General features: G+C 53.8%; 1 protein-coding gene across 2 annotated transcripts in view, besides 3 other annotated features; it reads right to left on the bottom strand.

Moving 5' to 3' along the window:
* The window catches only part of ACOT11 (acyl-CoA thioesterase 11), a 90965-nt gene that overhangs the window by 66068 nt on the left and 9782 nt on the right, over nucleotides 1-15115 (bottom strand). The gene's annotated exons all lie outside the window — the stretch shown is intronic.
* Nucleotides 684-1205: an enhancer, noted in NCBI's record as "H3K27ac-H3K4me1 hESC enhancer chr1:55037593-55038114 (GRCh37/hg19 assembly coordinates)". NCBI's record gives its function as "activates a minimal SCP1, AML or CMV promoter by ChIP-STARR-seq in primed H9 embryonic stem cells {active_cell/tissue: H9 hESC(primed)}" and the evidence as "EXISTENCE:reporter gene assay evidence [ECO:0000049][PMID:30033119]".
* Nucleotides 1206-1729: an enhancer, noted in NCBI's record as "H3K27ac-H3K4me1 hESC enhancer chr1:55037069-55037592 (GRCh37/hg19 assembly coordinates)". NCBI's record gives its function as "activates a minimal SCP1, AML or CMV promoter by ChIP-STARR-seq in primed H9 embryonic stem cells {active_cell/tissue: H9 hESC(primed)}" and the evidence as "EXISTENCE:reporter gene assay evidence [ECO:0000049][PMID:30033119]".
* Nucleotides 3145-3657: an enhancer, noted in NCBI's record as "H3K27ac-H3K4me1 hESC enhancer chr1:55035141-55035653 (GRCh37/hg19 assembly coordinates)". NCBI's record gives its function as "activates a minimal SCP1, AML or CMV promoter by ChIP-STARR-seq in naive H9 embryonic stem cells {active_cell/tissue: H9 hESC(naive)}" and the evidence as "EXISTENCE:reporter gene assay evidence [ECO:0000049][PMID:30033119]".

Genomic DNA, 15115 nt, shown 5'->3' with positions numbered 1-15115 from the left:
ACCTGGAGCCAGGACTTCCAAGAAGCTCCCCTCCCTGTCTACCCTTATGTCCTCTGCAGGAGGCCGTGATGGTGTCAGTACCCTTTTCCAGCATGGTCCAGGGTCAAGGCACTTTCCAGAACACTGTCCCACTGGGCCACTGTCAGTGAGGAAATTGCAAACTCTCAGGGAGCTGAAAACTGTACTTTATAAATTCTCAGCTCTCAGAGTGGGAGGAAACCTCAGGTTCAGCTAGACAGGCCTCTCTCAGGTGCAGAAATCTCAGCCCGCCACACTGCCTCTGGTGGCTGTCCAGCATGAGCTTGTTTGCTCCCAGAAGCAGAGGGCTCACTCCCTTCCAAGGGAGACCCTTCTGCTAAAGAGCAAATCTGCCTGTTCTTCCCTATGTCCCACTCACTAGCTGCCTCCCTGTGGCTTCCTCCCTTGGGGCTATTTGCCACCTCCCACCCTCTACCTCCAGCAGACCACAAAAGTGGCCAGAAGCGATTAGAACACAGGCAGTCTGAGTCTGACCCCAAGTATGAATGACCCGCCCTTTCCGTGTGACCCCCCCCCTCAGGGGAGCTGCTTTGACAGCACCCAGTACAGAACCCATGTTCACAGGCAGTCACCCCCATGCCACAGGCCCTGACGGTGGGGTGGGCCATTCTGGGGCTGTGAAGGACAGACCCGGCCTCTTCCCCTCCTCAGACCCCTGCCCTACCTGCCAGACAGCCAAGGCTGCTGCCTGTGCTGCCTCTGGGTCACCATGGCAACAGGTGGCCAGGCAATGGACCCGGGCCCTACCATCCTGCAAGCAACTCTGTTTACCCTGGAGCTGGGCACAGCAGCTACAGGCATCACAATTCCCCTTCAGGAGAGCAAGAGAGAGAGAATGAGAGAGAGCAGAGGGAAAGGAGAAGAAACCAGAGTCAGAGAGAGAGAAAGGAAAGGCGTCAAAGACAGGAGGGAAGGAACAATGCAGAGGTCAGAGCGAGAGAAAAACAGAGGCTGGCAGGGAACAGAGCAAGCAGAAGAGAGGCGAGCAGGAAGGGAGGACAGGCTCCAGACCTCCCCCACTGTGCACCTTCCTCCTGCCTGAGCTGCCCTCCCCTGGCCAAATTCTGGCTGCAGCCAGGACTTCCTGCCCCAGGAAACCAGCAGCCCAGTGGGCCCCTTCAAGGCCCCAGCGGCTGCTCCAGGGTCCTGCGGGCCCTTCCTGCTGGGGATGATGTCCTCTTCCTCCCCAGAAAGTGGGGCCCCTTCTCCCAGCTCCCCCAGCAGCACCTCCCCACTCAGCATCCCCCTCACTACCCCAAGGCCCCAGATGGTTCCCAGGGCCCTCCTGCCTGCCCAGGCCTGCTATCCTCTGGCTCTCTTCTTCCCACCTTACCCAGCTTCCCCTTGCACAACATAACAACATTTTCATTTTCCCAGGAGTGTTCAAGAAAACATTCCTGAGCGGAGCAGAGAGGTGGGAGAGGAGCTGTGATTTTACTCACTGAAGGAGTGCCCTTACACTGCAGGTGTTGCAGAGCAGGTCTCAGAACAAGGCTTAGCAGAGGAACCTGTGGTGCTGCTTCTAAGGCCCAAGCTGCCAAATCTGGGCATTAGGAGGTCCAGAGCTGAGCACAATCTAGTCTCTGGCAGAGGCAGCTGAGCTCAGCAGGTGTGCCAGCAACTCTCTACGCGGCACCATCCACACTCCAGATGCTGCCTTCAGCCTCAAGCTCTCTGGCTGCAAAGTAGCCCTATCAGACCTGTTCCAATTCCACTCCCATCCCCATATTTTCCTACACTGTCTCAGAGGAATTTGAGCCTACAAGAAGGTTTATTGAAATAATCAGAAGGGTGAAGAGAAAGAGAGAAGAAAGAAACAGGAAGGCATGGGGGCTGGCAAAGAGGACAGCAAGGCCCAAGGGCTTCAGACTGTCTGGCTAGATAACCCGAAGCCATTTTACTTGAGCCATTCTGAACCTCCATATCCACATCTGTCAAATGGGAATAAGAATATCATAGTTACCCAGCCTGGGTGACAGAGTGAGACCCTGTCTCTTTAAAAAAAAAAAAAAAAGAGAGAGAGAATATCATAATTGGGATTCAATGAGATTATACATGTAAAGTGCTTAGAACAGGATCTGACTCATAGGAAGTGCCTTCATGTTGTTAAAAAGCCAAGGCAGGCCTGTAATCCCAGCACTTTGGGAGGCCGAGGCAGGCAGATCACTTGAGGCCAGGAGTTTGAGACCAGGCTGGCCAACATGGTGAAACTCTGTCATTACTAAAAATACAAAAAAATTAGCTGGGTGTGGTGGCGGGTGCCTGTAATCCCAGCTACTCGGTAGGCTGAGGCAGGAGAGTCGCTTGAACCTGGGAGGTAGAGGTCACAATGAGCCAAGATCTTGCTGCTGTACTCCATCCAACCTGGGCAACAGGGCGAGACTCTGTCTCAAAAAAAAAAAAAGGCCAGGCACGGTGGCTCATGCCTGTAATCCCAGCCAGCACTTTGGGAGGCTGAGGCAGGAGAATCGCTTGAACCCAGGAGGTGGAGGTTGTAGTGAGCTGAGATCACTCCACTGTAGTCCAGCCTGGGTGACAGCGAGACTCTGTCTCAAAAAATAAAAAGGGCAAGGTGTTGTAGAAAGACCCAGAAAACCATTCTAGTGAGGAAGGGCCTAAACAGGTCCCAAGGGTAAGTGCTGTGACTGGCCAGATGGCCTTTGCAGAGCAGTGGGGGTCAGATGGAGCCTTTCAGCCCTGGGCTATGACAATGGCATCTGCTTTCCCTCCTGGCACTGCCAGTTGAACACATCCTCTCTCTACCAAGACAGAATTCATTGGTTTGTGGTTCATTTCAACCAAGAATCAAGATGTGGAATAGGACAGAGTCTGTGGCACTCTACGAAGCCTCCCGCAGACGCCCACATATGGTCTAACCAGACTCCACAACTGCTGGGAAGCCTTTGCATTTTGTAGGCCCTCGAGAGGCTCAAGACACCTCATGAGGGAAATGGATTATTGGAATAGAAGGCAACAGTCACTAGAAAGCAGCTCGGGTTCACTGAGAACAAGGCATGCTGGGCACACAGGAGCAGACCACTGGGTTAGGAATGGACAAAATTTGCATTTGCATAGACCCAGAACATTGTAAGTGCTCAGTAAATATGTGTTCAATGGAACCTGGGAGCTGTCTCCAATTAAGTACCACATGTACCTGCTCCATTCAACATGTGATCAAATGGCTTACCTGAAGAGACACCTGGTCCTAGATGACCACTTGAAAGGTTGTAACACATAAACTTAAAACCAAGCAGATGAAAATGAAAAAGACTCATTCTATCAACCTGCATTTAAGCTTTTCTGTTGCTATCACTTTTTTAAGTTGTATGCATGCTGGGGTGGCTCCAGCTTAATAGTTGTTTATGGGAAAACAGCCTTATTATTTCATCTGTCCACACACTCAACAATAACAATTCCTGCTGTAACCAAATGGGCACCCTGTGGCTGTTGAAGGCTTCACCCTGTGGTGAGGGGTTGGGGGGTGAAGGGAGTGCATTTCGGGAAGGAATGACTCAGTGGCAGGGAGGAGACAGCCCAAGACTGGCATTTGGCAGGCAGCATGAGGCCCAGTCCTGTGAAGGGGAAAACAGAGGGAACAAGGAGTGGCTCAGGATGACAACCAGGCCGTCGGAGGGACAGTGAGGGGGCCAGGCTGCGTGTGGCCTGGGTGTCAGGCCTCTGGCTGCAAATCCAAAGGCTGGCTGGATTAGAGGACAGAAAGAGGCCTAGTAAAGTGTAAAACCAAGACCCCAAAGGGGTGGACAAGGTTAGGAAGGGGCCGATTCTAGCTGGGAATCAACATAAATCTTTTTAAAAACTCCCACTGCCAGACACAGTGGCTCATGCCTGTAATCCCAGCACTTTGGGAGGCTGAGGCAGGAGGATTGCTTGAAGCCAGGCGTTTGAGACCAACTTGGGCAAGAGAGCAAGATCCCATCTCTACAAAAAAAAAAAAAATTATTTTTTTTTTTTCGAGAGAGTCTTGCTCTGTCTATTGCCCAGGCTGGAATGCAGTGGCTTAATCTTGGCTCACTGCAGCCTTGACCTCCCAGGCTCAAGTAATCCTCCCACCTCAGCATCCCAAGTTGCTGGGACTACAGACGGGTGCCACCATGCCCAGCTAATTTTAATTTTTTATTTTTTACACAGATGGGGTCTTGCCATGTTGCCCAGTCTGGTAAAAGAAAAAGTTTTTAGCCACACCCCAGCCACTCGGAAGGCTGAGGTGGGAGGATCACTTGAGCCAGGAGTTCAAGGTTACGATGAGCTATGATCACATCACTGCACTCCAGGCTAGGCAATAGAGTGAGACCCTGTCTTTTAAAAAATAAAATAAAAATAAAAAATAAATCTAAAAACTCCCATGAAGTTCAGTCCACACTGGGCCCCCCAGCCTCTGCCAAAAGATAAAGGTGCTGGGGGCCAGAGGCATGGTGGCTCACGCCTGTAATCCCAGCACTTTCAGAGGCCGAAGTGAGTGGATCACCTGAGGTTGGGAGCTGGAGACCAGTCTGACCAAAATGGAGAAACCCCGTCTCTACTAAAGATACAAAATTAGCCAGGCGTGATGGTGCATTCCTGTAATCCCAGCTACTTGGGAGGCTGAGGCAGGAGAATTGCTTGAACCCAGGAGGTGGAGGTTGCAGTGAGCCGAGGTCGCACCATTGTACTCCAGCCTGGGCAACAAGAACAAAACTCCGTCTCAAAAAAAAAAAAAAAAAAAAAAAGGTGCTGGGAAAACCTTAAACAGACATAGTGTCTTCTCACATGAACAGACAATAAACAAAAGAGGAACAAGAAGAGGGAAAAGTGCTATGAGAAAGAAAAAACGGGATGTAACAGAAAGAAGGTGGTGGACAGGGAGGAGCTTCTTTAGGCTGTGTAATCAAAGAGGCTTCCTGGCTAGGATCTGAAGGAATGATGAGAAGGAGCAATTGCACAAGACTGTGCAGGGTTGCGGACAAGAGAACAGACAGTGCAAAAACCCCAAGGAAGCGCAGGGACCGGCTGTCAGAGGAAGAACAGGGACGTGTTGGGACAGAAGGACCTAAGAAATGCAGAGAGCAGACTCTGCCCCATCCCCTAAGGTCTTGTATGTCCCAGTGGAGCTTGGATTTTACTCCAAGTGTGAGGGGAAGAACTGGAGGCTGTAGGGGAGGGTGGTGGTCTGGCCTGCGTTGTAAGATCACTCTGCTGCTGTGTGGAGGTGAACTTTAGGATGGAGAGAAGCAGCAGGCAGACTGCTCAGCGGGCCACTGCAGTCAGGGGAGAGGGCTGGCTGGGCAGAGAGGTGGAGCCAGGATGTATTTGGGAGGTAGAAGCAACAGGTCTTGCTGAAGGACTCCACGTGTGTGAGAAGGGACAGGGTGGTGCCAGTTGGAGAGGGTGGTCGAGGGAAGCGGCAGCTACACCTGCGGGCAGTGTAGAGGGAGGGTTTGCGAGCGGCTAGGGGACTTGGTCGTGGAGATGATGGGAGGTGGTAGGCAGGATAAAAATTAGGGAAAAAAGGCCAGGCACAGTGGCTCACGCCTGTAATCCCAGCACTTTGGGAGGCTGAGGCGGGTGGATCACCTGAGGTCCGGAGTCCAAGACCAGCCTGGCCAACATGGTGAAACCCCGTCTCTACTAAAAATACAAAAATTAGCTGGGTGTGGTGGTAGGTGCCTATAATCCCAGCTACTCCGGAGGCTGAGGCAGGAGAATCGCTTGAACCTGGGAGGCAGAGGTTGCAGTGAGCCTAGATCGCGCCATTGCACTCCAGCCTGGGAGACAGAGTGAGACTGCATCTCAAAAAAAAAAAAAAGGAAAAAAGTCAAAATAAATAAATAAGAAAGGAGGATCCAAGCTTAGAATGAGTGACTGGCAGATGGTGGTACTGGTTACTGAGTTGGGGAGATCAGTGTAGAAATAAGTAGGGGACAAGAATTTGTGAGATCCTATTAAACATTTAAAGAGAGGAATCAAGGAACTCAGGCCTGGAGCTCACTGGAGAAGAGGCTACACCTGGAGACACTAACATATATGGGTATTTAAGATCCACAGGATTTTGAGACGTTGTGGTAAATGAAAGAAGGCCACCAATTTTTGCTACTCCTCCCATTCAAAGGTAGAGTCTAACCTCCTCCTCTTGAATCTGAGTCATTTTTAGTGACATTTCAACAGTGACTCTGAGACTAGATCATGACACACCTTGCAGCTTCCCCCCAGGCCTCTTAGAACTCTTGCTCTAGTGGAGCCAGCTGCCAGGTAGAAAATCTAACTATCCCAAGACTGTCATATTGAAGAGGCCACACGTGGGTGCTCCAAATGACAGTCCCAGCTAAACCCAACCTTCCAGCACTCCCCACCGAGGTGCCAGTGAAGGCATCATGGAGCCCCCAGTTCAGCCCATCCACCACTAAGTTCCACTAAGCAGCCTCCATCAATGCCACATAGAGCAGACAAACCACCCAGCCCAGCCCTGCCAGAATTCCTGACCCATAGAATCACAAGATGATAGAAACCAGTTGTTGCTTTAAGCTACTAAGGTTCGGGGTAGTTTGTTACACAGCCACTGTAACTAGAACAGACATCATCCAAGAAGATGGGTTGACAGAGACATTCACACTCGGCTTTTTTTTTTTTTTTTTTTGAGACAGTCTTGCTCTGTCACCCAGGCTGGAGTGCAGTGGCACAATCTCGGCTCACTGCAATCTCCATCTCCCGGGTTCTAGCGATTCTCGTGCCTCAGCCACCCAAGTAGCTGGGATTACAGGAACGCGCCACCATGCCCAGCTAATTTTTGTATTTTTAGTAGAGATGGGGTATCACCATGTTGGTCAGGCTGCTCTCGAACTCCTGACTTCAAGTGATCCGCCTGCCTCGGCCTCCCAAAATGCTGGGATTACAGGTGTGAGCCACCATGCCTGCCCTCACACTCAGCTATTTAGAAGTCACGTGGGGAGGAGGAATCTGCAAAGGAGTCTGCGAGCAAGCAGTCAGTGAGGTGGGAGGACCCCAGGAGAGTCTGGCTCTCCAGAGGGAAGGGGGCCCTGCTGGTGCGTGAGCTCTGAGTCAAGGCAGATGGGGAAACAAGCTATCACTGATTTTTGACAGGAAGGTAGGAAGGAGGGAGGGAGGGGGAAGAGAGGAGTCCAGTTAGAGTGAATTAGGGAAAGAATGAGAGGTAATACCATGGGAACAGAGAAAACTCTTTCCAAAATGTGTGTGGGAAAAGGCAGCAAAGAAACAAGGTAGCAGTTGGAAGGGGCTTTGTTTGCCTAGAGTCTGGGAGATACTAAAGCTGGTTGGTTCATCTGGTCCTGGGACAGATCCAGTAGGAGGGATCCTACTGAGACAAGAGAGCTTTCTACAGGACGGGGGCTAAGAATTGCCTTTGCAGAAGCTCAAAGATCCCTTTTCAGAAATCTATGACTGCTACTTACCATGTACCTACTGTATGCCAGGTCTCGTTCTTGGGGGCCCTTTAATTCTCACTCTGAAGCAGGAATCCTCCTCATTCCTTATTTTACAGATAAGAGAAAGGAAATGGACAGGGAACAAGGAAAGGGCCACCCATGCACTCCTGGCCAGTAAAAGGCAAAGGGGAGACTGGACCTGGGTCCTTCTGACTCCAGAGCCTGGCAGGAGTGCAGCAGAGGGGACATCAGCTGGAGGGCGATCAGGTCACCCAACAACTGGAACTTCTGATACACAGCCTGGGACTTTGGACACCTTGTTATCAGTTGCCTCCCAGCACTCCTACCTTCTGCATGATATGAGCCTATAGGAAAAGAGCTCACTGCAGAAGTGGTTTCCGACCTGTGGATCCCACCCAGGCAGTGGGATCTGCCGGGTAAAGAGTATCACTGCCTCGACTCCCCATCCAGAAGGCCTGCCTTCCTGTTTTCCCAGCTGAGAACCAGTCTGCACAGACACACCTTCTCCTTGCCTTGCTGCCTGGAAGCTCCAGTTCAGTCTTCAAAAGCAAGGGGAGGGTGGGGACCAAGTAAACTCAAAGGCCAAGGAGGGCCTGGGGTGGTGTGGGGGAAGACGGTGCTGAGATGCAAGGCTATGCTTTTCCCCTTGGACTCTCTTCAGAAAGGGCCCCTCCCTTGGCCCCAAAGTCACTTTATGCTTGGGCCCCTTCCTCTCCCATGTTCGCCCTGCTCTCAAAGCCTATAGGCACATGTACATCTGATCTCTTAACACCCCTTCTCTGTAAATACCTGCCATGGCATTAAGCTACCTGGCACGAAGCAGGCTCCAGTTGCAGGGACCATTATCACCCCCCACCGCCCCAACCCCGACATCCCTATGTTATGAATGAGGAAGCTGAGGCTGGGGAAGAGAGCCGGTCAAGAACCAGCCAGAGTCTTCCGACTTCGGACCTCCCACTTGTCCCTCCCACCACTCACGGGGCTGTATCCCTGGAGAAGAAAAAGAGGAATTGGGTCTCTCCACACCCTCCCTAAGGGATCAAAAGAAAAGTCAGACCTACCTGCTTCAGCTCGGCCCAGGTGTGGTGCTGGAAACCAGAGGCTGCTGAAAGGAAGTCCCAAGGCCACTCCCCTTCCGACCTCTCACCGAGTCCACGTCTGGCACAGGGCCACACCTGGGCAGGGCCACGCCCCAGGGCAGATCACAGCCTATTCTAGAGGTCGTAAATAAGACAATGCCAAGGAGTGGAGAGACCTGAGATTCCCCACCCCCCGCAGGCAACCTGAACCTGGTCCTCTCTGGGCCACAGCCCGGGTGCTGTTAGCCAAGCACTGACCTACCAGGCTTCTGAATAACAGACGACGTAAAGCTGTGCACAGCTTTCTTTCTTTTTTTCTTTTTTTATTTTATTTTTTCTTTTTCTTCTGGAGACAGGGTCTTGCTCTGTCACCCAGGTTGGAGTGCAGTGGCGCCATCATGGCTCACTGCAGCCTCTACGTCCCAGGCTCAAGCAATCCTCCCACCTCAGCCCCTTGAGTAGCTGAGTAGCTGAGACTACAGGCACGCACCACCACACCTGGCTAATTTTTTTTTTTTTTTTTGAGATGGAGTTTCATTCTGTTGCCCAGGCTGGAGTGCAGTGGCACAATCTCGGCTCACTGCAACCTCCGCCTTCTGGGTTCAAGCGATTCTCCTGCCTCAGCCTCCCGAGTAGCTGGGATTACAGGCACAAGCCTCCACACCCAGCTAATTTTTATATTTTTAGTGGAGATGGGGTTTCACCATGTTGGCCAAGCTGGTCTTGAACTAATGATCTTAAGTGATCCGCCCCCCGCTCCCTCAGCCTCCCAAAGTGCTGGGATTACAGGCATGAGCCACGGCACCAAGCCCAATTTTTTAAATGTTATTTTTAGTAAGATGAGGTCTGTGTTGCCCAGGATGGTCTGGAACTCCTGGGCTCAAGGGATCCTCCTGCCTCTGCCTCCCAAAGTGCTGGGACTACAGGCATGAGCCACTGAGCCTGGCCCATAGAGCTTTCTAGGCTGTAAAAGAATACACACATGTGGTAATAAGAAACTCCTTGAAGACAGGGGCCACATCTCATGTGTCTCTGGAATCCTGGTGCATCCTTACTAAGCACCTACTAAGTTTCAGGCTTTTCTATACATTATATAAAATTGCTTTATATCCATAACACCATTCATCCTCACCAAAACCCTGTGAGGGACAATTATTCCTCCTGCACAGAAAAGGGAACTGAGGCTTGGGTTATAAAAGCCTTGTCTAATGGCACTCTGCCGGTGAGCGATGGAGCTGAGATTTCGCTTTTCTCAATACCAAAGCCATTTCTACTCACTGGGCTGCCTCTCCAAGTTGCTTAAGCTGGGTGCAGTGGCTGACACCTATAATCCCAGCACTTTCAGAGGCCAAGGCAGAAGGATCACTTGAGGCCAGGAGTTCAAGACCAGCCTTGGCAACATGGCGAAACCCCATCTCTAGAATACATTTTTAAAAAATCAGAGTCTTTGCCGCCGCGCCAGCGAGCGCCGCCCGGGAGGCAGCGGCTGGAGGAGCGGACGGGCCCCGCAGGGCCCGAGGGCAAGGAGCAGCCGCCTGCCTTGGCCTCCCAAAGTGCCGAGATTGCAGCCTCTGCCCGGCCGCCACCCCGTCTGGGAAGTGAGGAGTGTCTCTGCCTGGCCGCCCATCGTCTGGGATGTGAGGAGCCCCTCTGCCTGGCTGCCCACTCTGGAAAGTGAGGAGCGTCTCCGCCCGGCCGCCATCCCATCTAGGAAGTGAGGAGCGCCTCTTCCCAGCCGCCATCACATCTAGGAAGTGAGGAGCGTCTCTGCCCGGCCGCCCATCGTCTGAGATGTGGGGAGCGCCTCTGCCCCGCCGCCCCATCTGGGATGTGAGGAGCGCCTCTGCCCGGCCGAGACCCCGTCTGGGAGGTGAGGAGCGTCTCTGCCCGGCCGCCCCGTCTGAGAAGTGAGGAGACCCTCTGCCTGGCAACCACCCCGTCTGAGAAGTGAGGAGCCCCTCCGCCCGGCAGCTGCCCCATCTGAGAAGTGAGGAGCCTCTCCGCCCGGCAGCCACCCCGTCCGGGAGGGAGGTGGGGGGTGGGTCAGCCCCCCGCCCGGCCAGCCGCCCCATCCGGGAGGGAGGTGGGGGGGTCAGCCCCCCGCCTGGCCAGCCGTGCCGTCCGGGAGGGAGGTGGGGGGATCAGCCCCCCGCCCGGCCAGCCGCCCCGTCCGGGAGGTGAGGGGCGCCTCTGCCCGGCTGCCCCTACTGGGAAGTGAGGAGCCCCTCAGCCCGGCCAGCCACCCCGTCCGGGAGGGAGATGGGGGGGTCAGCCCCCCCACCCGGCCAGCCGCCCCGTCCGGGAGGGAGGTGGGGGGTCAGCCCCCCGCCTGGCCAGCCGCCCCGTCCGGGAGGGAGGTGGGGGGGTCAGCCCTCCGCCCGGCCAGCCGCCCCGTCTGGGAGGTGAGGGGCGCCTCTGCCCAGCCACCCCTACTGGGAAGTGAGGAGCCCCTCTGCCCGGCCAGCCGCCCCGTCCGGGAGGGAGGTTGGGGGGGTCAGCCCCCCGCCCGGCCAGCCGCCCTGTCCGGGAGGGAGGTGGGGGGGGTCAGCCCTCCGCCCGGCCAGCCGCCCCGTCTGGGAGGTGAGGGGCGCCTCTGCCCGGCCGCCCCTACTGGGAAGTGAGGAGCCCCTCTGCCCGGCCAGCCGCCCCGTCCGGGAGGGAGGTGGGGGGGGGGTCAGCCCCCCTGCCCAGCCAGCCGCCCCGTCCGGGAGGTGAGGGGCGCCTCTGCCCGGCCGCCCCTACTGGGAAGTGAGGAGCCCCTCTGCCCGGCCAGCCGCCCCGTCCGGGAGGGAGGTGGGGGGGTCAGCCCCCCGCCCGGCCAGCCGCCCCGTCCGGGAGGGAGGTGGGGGGGGTCAGCCCCCCTGCCCGGCCAGCCGCCCCGTCCGGGAGGTGAGGGGCGCCTCTGCCCGGCCGCCCCTACTGGGAAGTGAGGAGCCCCTCTGCCCGGCCACCACCCTGTCTGGGAGGTGTGCCCAACAGCTCATTGAGAACGGGCCAGGATGACAATGGCGGCTTTGTGGAATAGAAAGGCGGGAAAGGTGGGGAAAAGATTGAGAAATCGGATGGTTGCCGTGTCTGTGTAGAAAGAAGTAGACATGGGAGACTTTTCATTTCGTTCTGCACTAAGAAAAATTCCTCTGCCTTGGGATCCTGTTGATCTGTGACCTTACCCCCAACCCTGTGCTCTCTGAAACATGTGCTGTGTCCACTCAGGGTTAAATGGATTAAGGGCGGTGCAAGATGTGCTTTGTTAAACAGATGCTTGAAGGCAGCATGCTCGTTAAGAGTCATCACCAATCCCTAATCTCAAGTAATCAGGGACACAAACACTGCGGAAGGCCGCAGGGTCCTCTGCCTAGGAAAACCAGAGACCTTTGTTCACTTGTTTATCTGCTGACCTTCCCTCCACTATTGTCCCATGACCCTGCCAAATCCCCCTCTGTGAGAAACACCCAAGAATTATCAATAAAAAAATAAATTTAAAAAATAAAAAAAAATAAAAAAAATAAAAAATCAGCCAAGCAGCTGGGCACGATGGCTCACACCTGTAATCCCAGCACTTTGGGAGGCCAAGGTGGGCGGATTGCCTTGTAATCCCAGCACTTTGGGAGGCCGAGGTGGGCAGATTGCCTAAGGTCAGGAGTTCGAGACCAGCCTGGCCAACATGGTGAAACCCCGTCTCTACTAAAAATACAAACAATTAGCCGGGCATGGTGGCAGGCGCCTGTAATCCCAGCTACTCAGGAGGCTGACGAAGGGGAATTGCTTGAACCCAGGAGGCGGAGGTTGCAGTGAGCCAAGATCGCGCCATTGCACTCCAGCCTGGGCAACAGAGCAAAACTCTGTCTCAAAAAAAAAAAAATAGCCAAGCATAGTTGACACATTGTTCTTTTGGTTGCTAGGTCAGGTGTACCAGTTACTTGGGAGGCTGAGAGGGGAAGCTACAGCAGGAAGATCACCTGAGCCTAGGAATTCAAGGCTTCAGTGAGCTATGATCGCACCACTGCACTCCAGCCTGCACAACAGAGTGAGACCTTGTCTCGAGAAAACAAAAACAGATGCTTAATAATTCACGTCCACTGATATTAATTAGTTAATATATCATTTGCTGAGGACAAATTATTACTACTGAAGAAGCCCTAGGCAGGATATACATATTACATGGACAAGGGGGTCAAGGAGGGTGCCCTTAACTCCCTCATTTCTCTGTGGACCTGGCTCCTTCACATCTCTTACATACAGGTGCCTCTGCCTGGATCATTCTTCCTAACCCAGAAAAGCTTTTAGGGCCAACCTAACCCATCACCTCCTCCAGGGAGCCCACCCTGACCACTGGGCTGGTGAGGGGCTATCTTGGTGCTTCCCTCTGTCACATCCTGGCTGTGCTGTGCTGTGCTGCCATAGTAGGTTTGTACCTCCCTCTGTCTCTCCATCAACCTGAGGGCATCTGAGGACACGTCTAGTCTGGCTCATCCCTGTGTCCCCAAAGTGTCAGACTCTGGTCTGCCCCAGTCCGTCACTGCCCCAATGTCACCTCTAACCCGCAAGGCTGCCCCTGGGAATGGCAGGAGCACACAGGCCTGCAGCCAGGGAGCTGGCAGAGGACCCAGCCAGCAGCACCATCTGTCCCTGGAGCCACAGGACAGAGCAGGCATAAGGCAGAGGTGTCAGTTCCTTGGCTCAGCCAGGTCAGCCCAGGACAAGGAGAGGAGCTTCAGCACCCAGGGCCCCTGCCCAGCTGGAGCTTGGGGTCAGATGAGGCTTTGAATTCTCTAATTAGATCACAGTGGCTTCATACCAGAGCCTTGGTTTTCTAACTTGTAAAGCCAGATAAATACCAGAAGCCTTGCAAAGCTGTTGGGAAGTTTAAATATGCCCGACACTTAGTAGGTCCTCAACAGAAAAGTTTGCTTTCACCATCTCATCTGACCAACTGACCCTACCATTGAACCACTGAGAAAACTGAGGTTCACATGAGATGGAAAAAAAAAAAAAGAAAACTATTCACCATGGCCAATTATGTGCCGAGTTCTCCATTTTTTCAACATCTCTATTCCTGACAACAATTTGGCATGATCTGCAGGAAGAGAACTGGTTCATATTAGGAAACTGATGCCCACAGAGGTGAGGTGAGTGAGTGCCTCTAAGGCAGCACCCTTTTCGTCATCGGGCCGAGTGATGAGCAGCTCTCCGAAGGCTCCCGGGATGCCAGCTTGGCCCTGCTCCAGCCCAGGCACAGGTGAGGGGCAGTGGGCAGCCTCCCTCGACCCTGAGGTGTGTGGGGTGGGGTCAGCTCAGCCTGGGGCCCTGAATCTACACTGTCAGTGTGTGAGGGTGGGCAGAGGAGGCTGGGATGGGGTGGGTCCACATGTAACAGTGAGGCCACATTCTAGGTGCACGGAAGTTCCAGATGCCCCGCTAGCCAAGACAAGGGCTGGAAACGGGGACCCAGTCTAGCAGATGAGAGCTCTGGGTCTCTTGCCAGGTGTGCAAACCCAGGCATGTCACCTCACTTCTCTGTGCCTCGTCTCTCACGGGGGCTGAGCCTTTTACCCACCTCCCTGTTGTGAGGAGTCAGGGGGTGAATGGGGAGGCAGCTGAGACCTTCAAGGTGCTGGCCATACAAAGAAGGGGAACCATGATGATGTGTTTCCCTGGGTCGCTGAGCCCAGCGTGCGGGAACTGCATATCTTGGCACTAAGCCTGGGGACAAGGGAGCCCTCATGGCTCTCACAGGCAGGTAGGCAAGACAACATGACCCACAGCGCTCGAAAGCCCAAACTCAGCCTACAAGGCCTGGACCCCCAGCCTGCAGGTCCTGGAAGCCTGCCCTCAGCCTCTTCCAGCTGTTCCCTTTGCTCCCTCCACTCCAAGTGGAGTGAGGAGTGAGCAGCAGGGGCTGCTGGGCCCCTATTCAGCTGCTCAGATGCACCAAGCTCGCCCCAGCCTTGGAGCCTGCCAATGGATTCTGTTCCCCTTGGCTGGAATGCTCTTCCCTCAGATCTTCCCAAGGCTGCCTTCTCAGCTGCTAGCTTTCTGCTCAGCTGTCGTCTGCTCAGAGAGCTCTCCCCTGACCCCCTCATCATTCTCTCACAGCTCCCTGTTCTCCAGACAGTCTCAATTTAATCCCAGCAATGCTACTTACTAGCTGTGTTACCTCGGGCAACTTACTTAACCTGTCTGTCTCAGTTTCATCTTTAATACGGACACAATTATCTACTTCACAGAGTTGTTATAAGGAATAATGAGTTACTGCAGGCATGGCATACAGCTAGCACTTGTATGGCATTTACTGTTATTACTACTATTCATAGCACTTATTGCAGATTTTCATCATTGTTTATTTGAATACCTTCTCCCTATCTCTCCTGCACTAGCTGTCAGCTCCAGGAAACAGGCTATATATATCATTGGCCACAGCATACCCAGCACTGGCTAACTGTTAATCCCCCAGTACAGTAAGTACCCGTGGAGGGAACGAGTGAAGTATATACAACATCCTGAGGAGACGTCATTAACTCTAGGGACAGACAAGATGAGGATTCAAAGGGGAAATGATAGCCCAGCTGGGTTTTGAAA

Source organism: Homo sapiens, chromosome 1 (genome assembly GCF_000001405.40).
Source record: "Homo sapiens chromosome 1, GRCh38.p14 Primary Assembly".
In the NCBI taxonomy this organism is placed as follows: Eukaryota; Metazoa; Chordata; class Mammalia; order Primates; family Hominidae; genus Homo; species Homo sapiens.
Note: the sequence above shows the minus strand (reverse complement) of the source record. Positions and strands in the feature narration are given on the sequence as shown.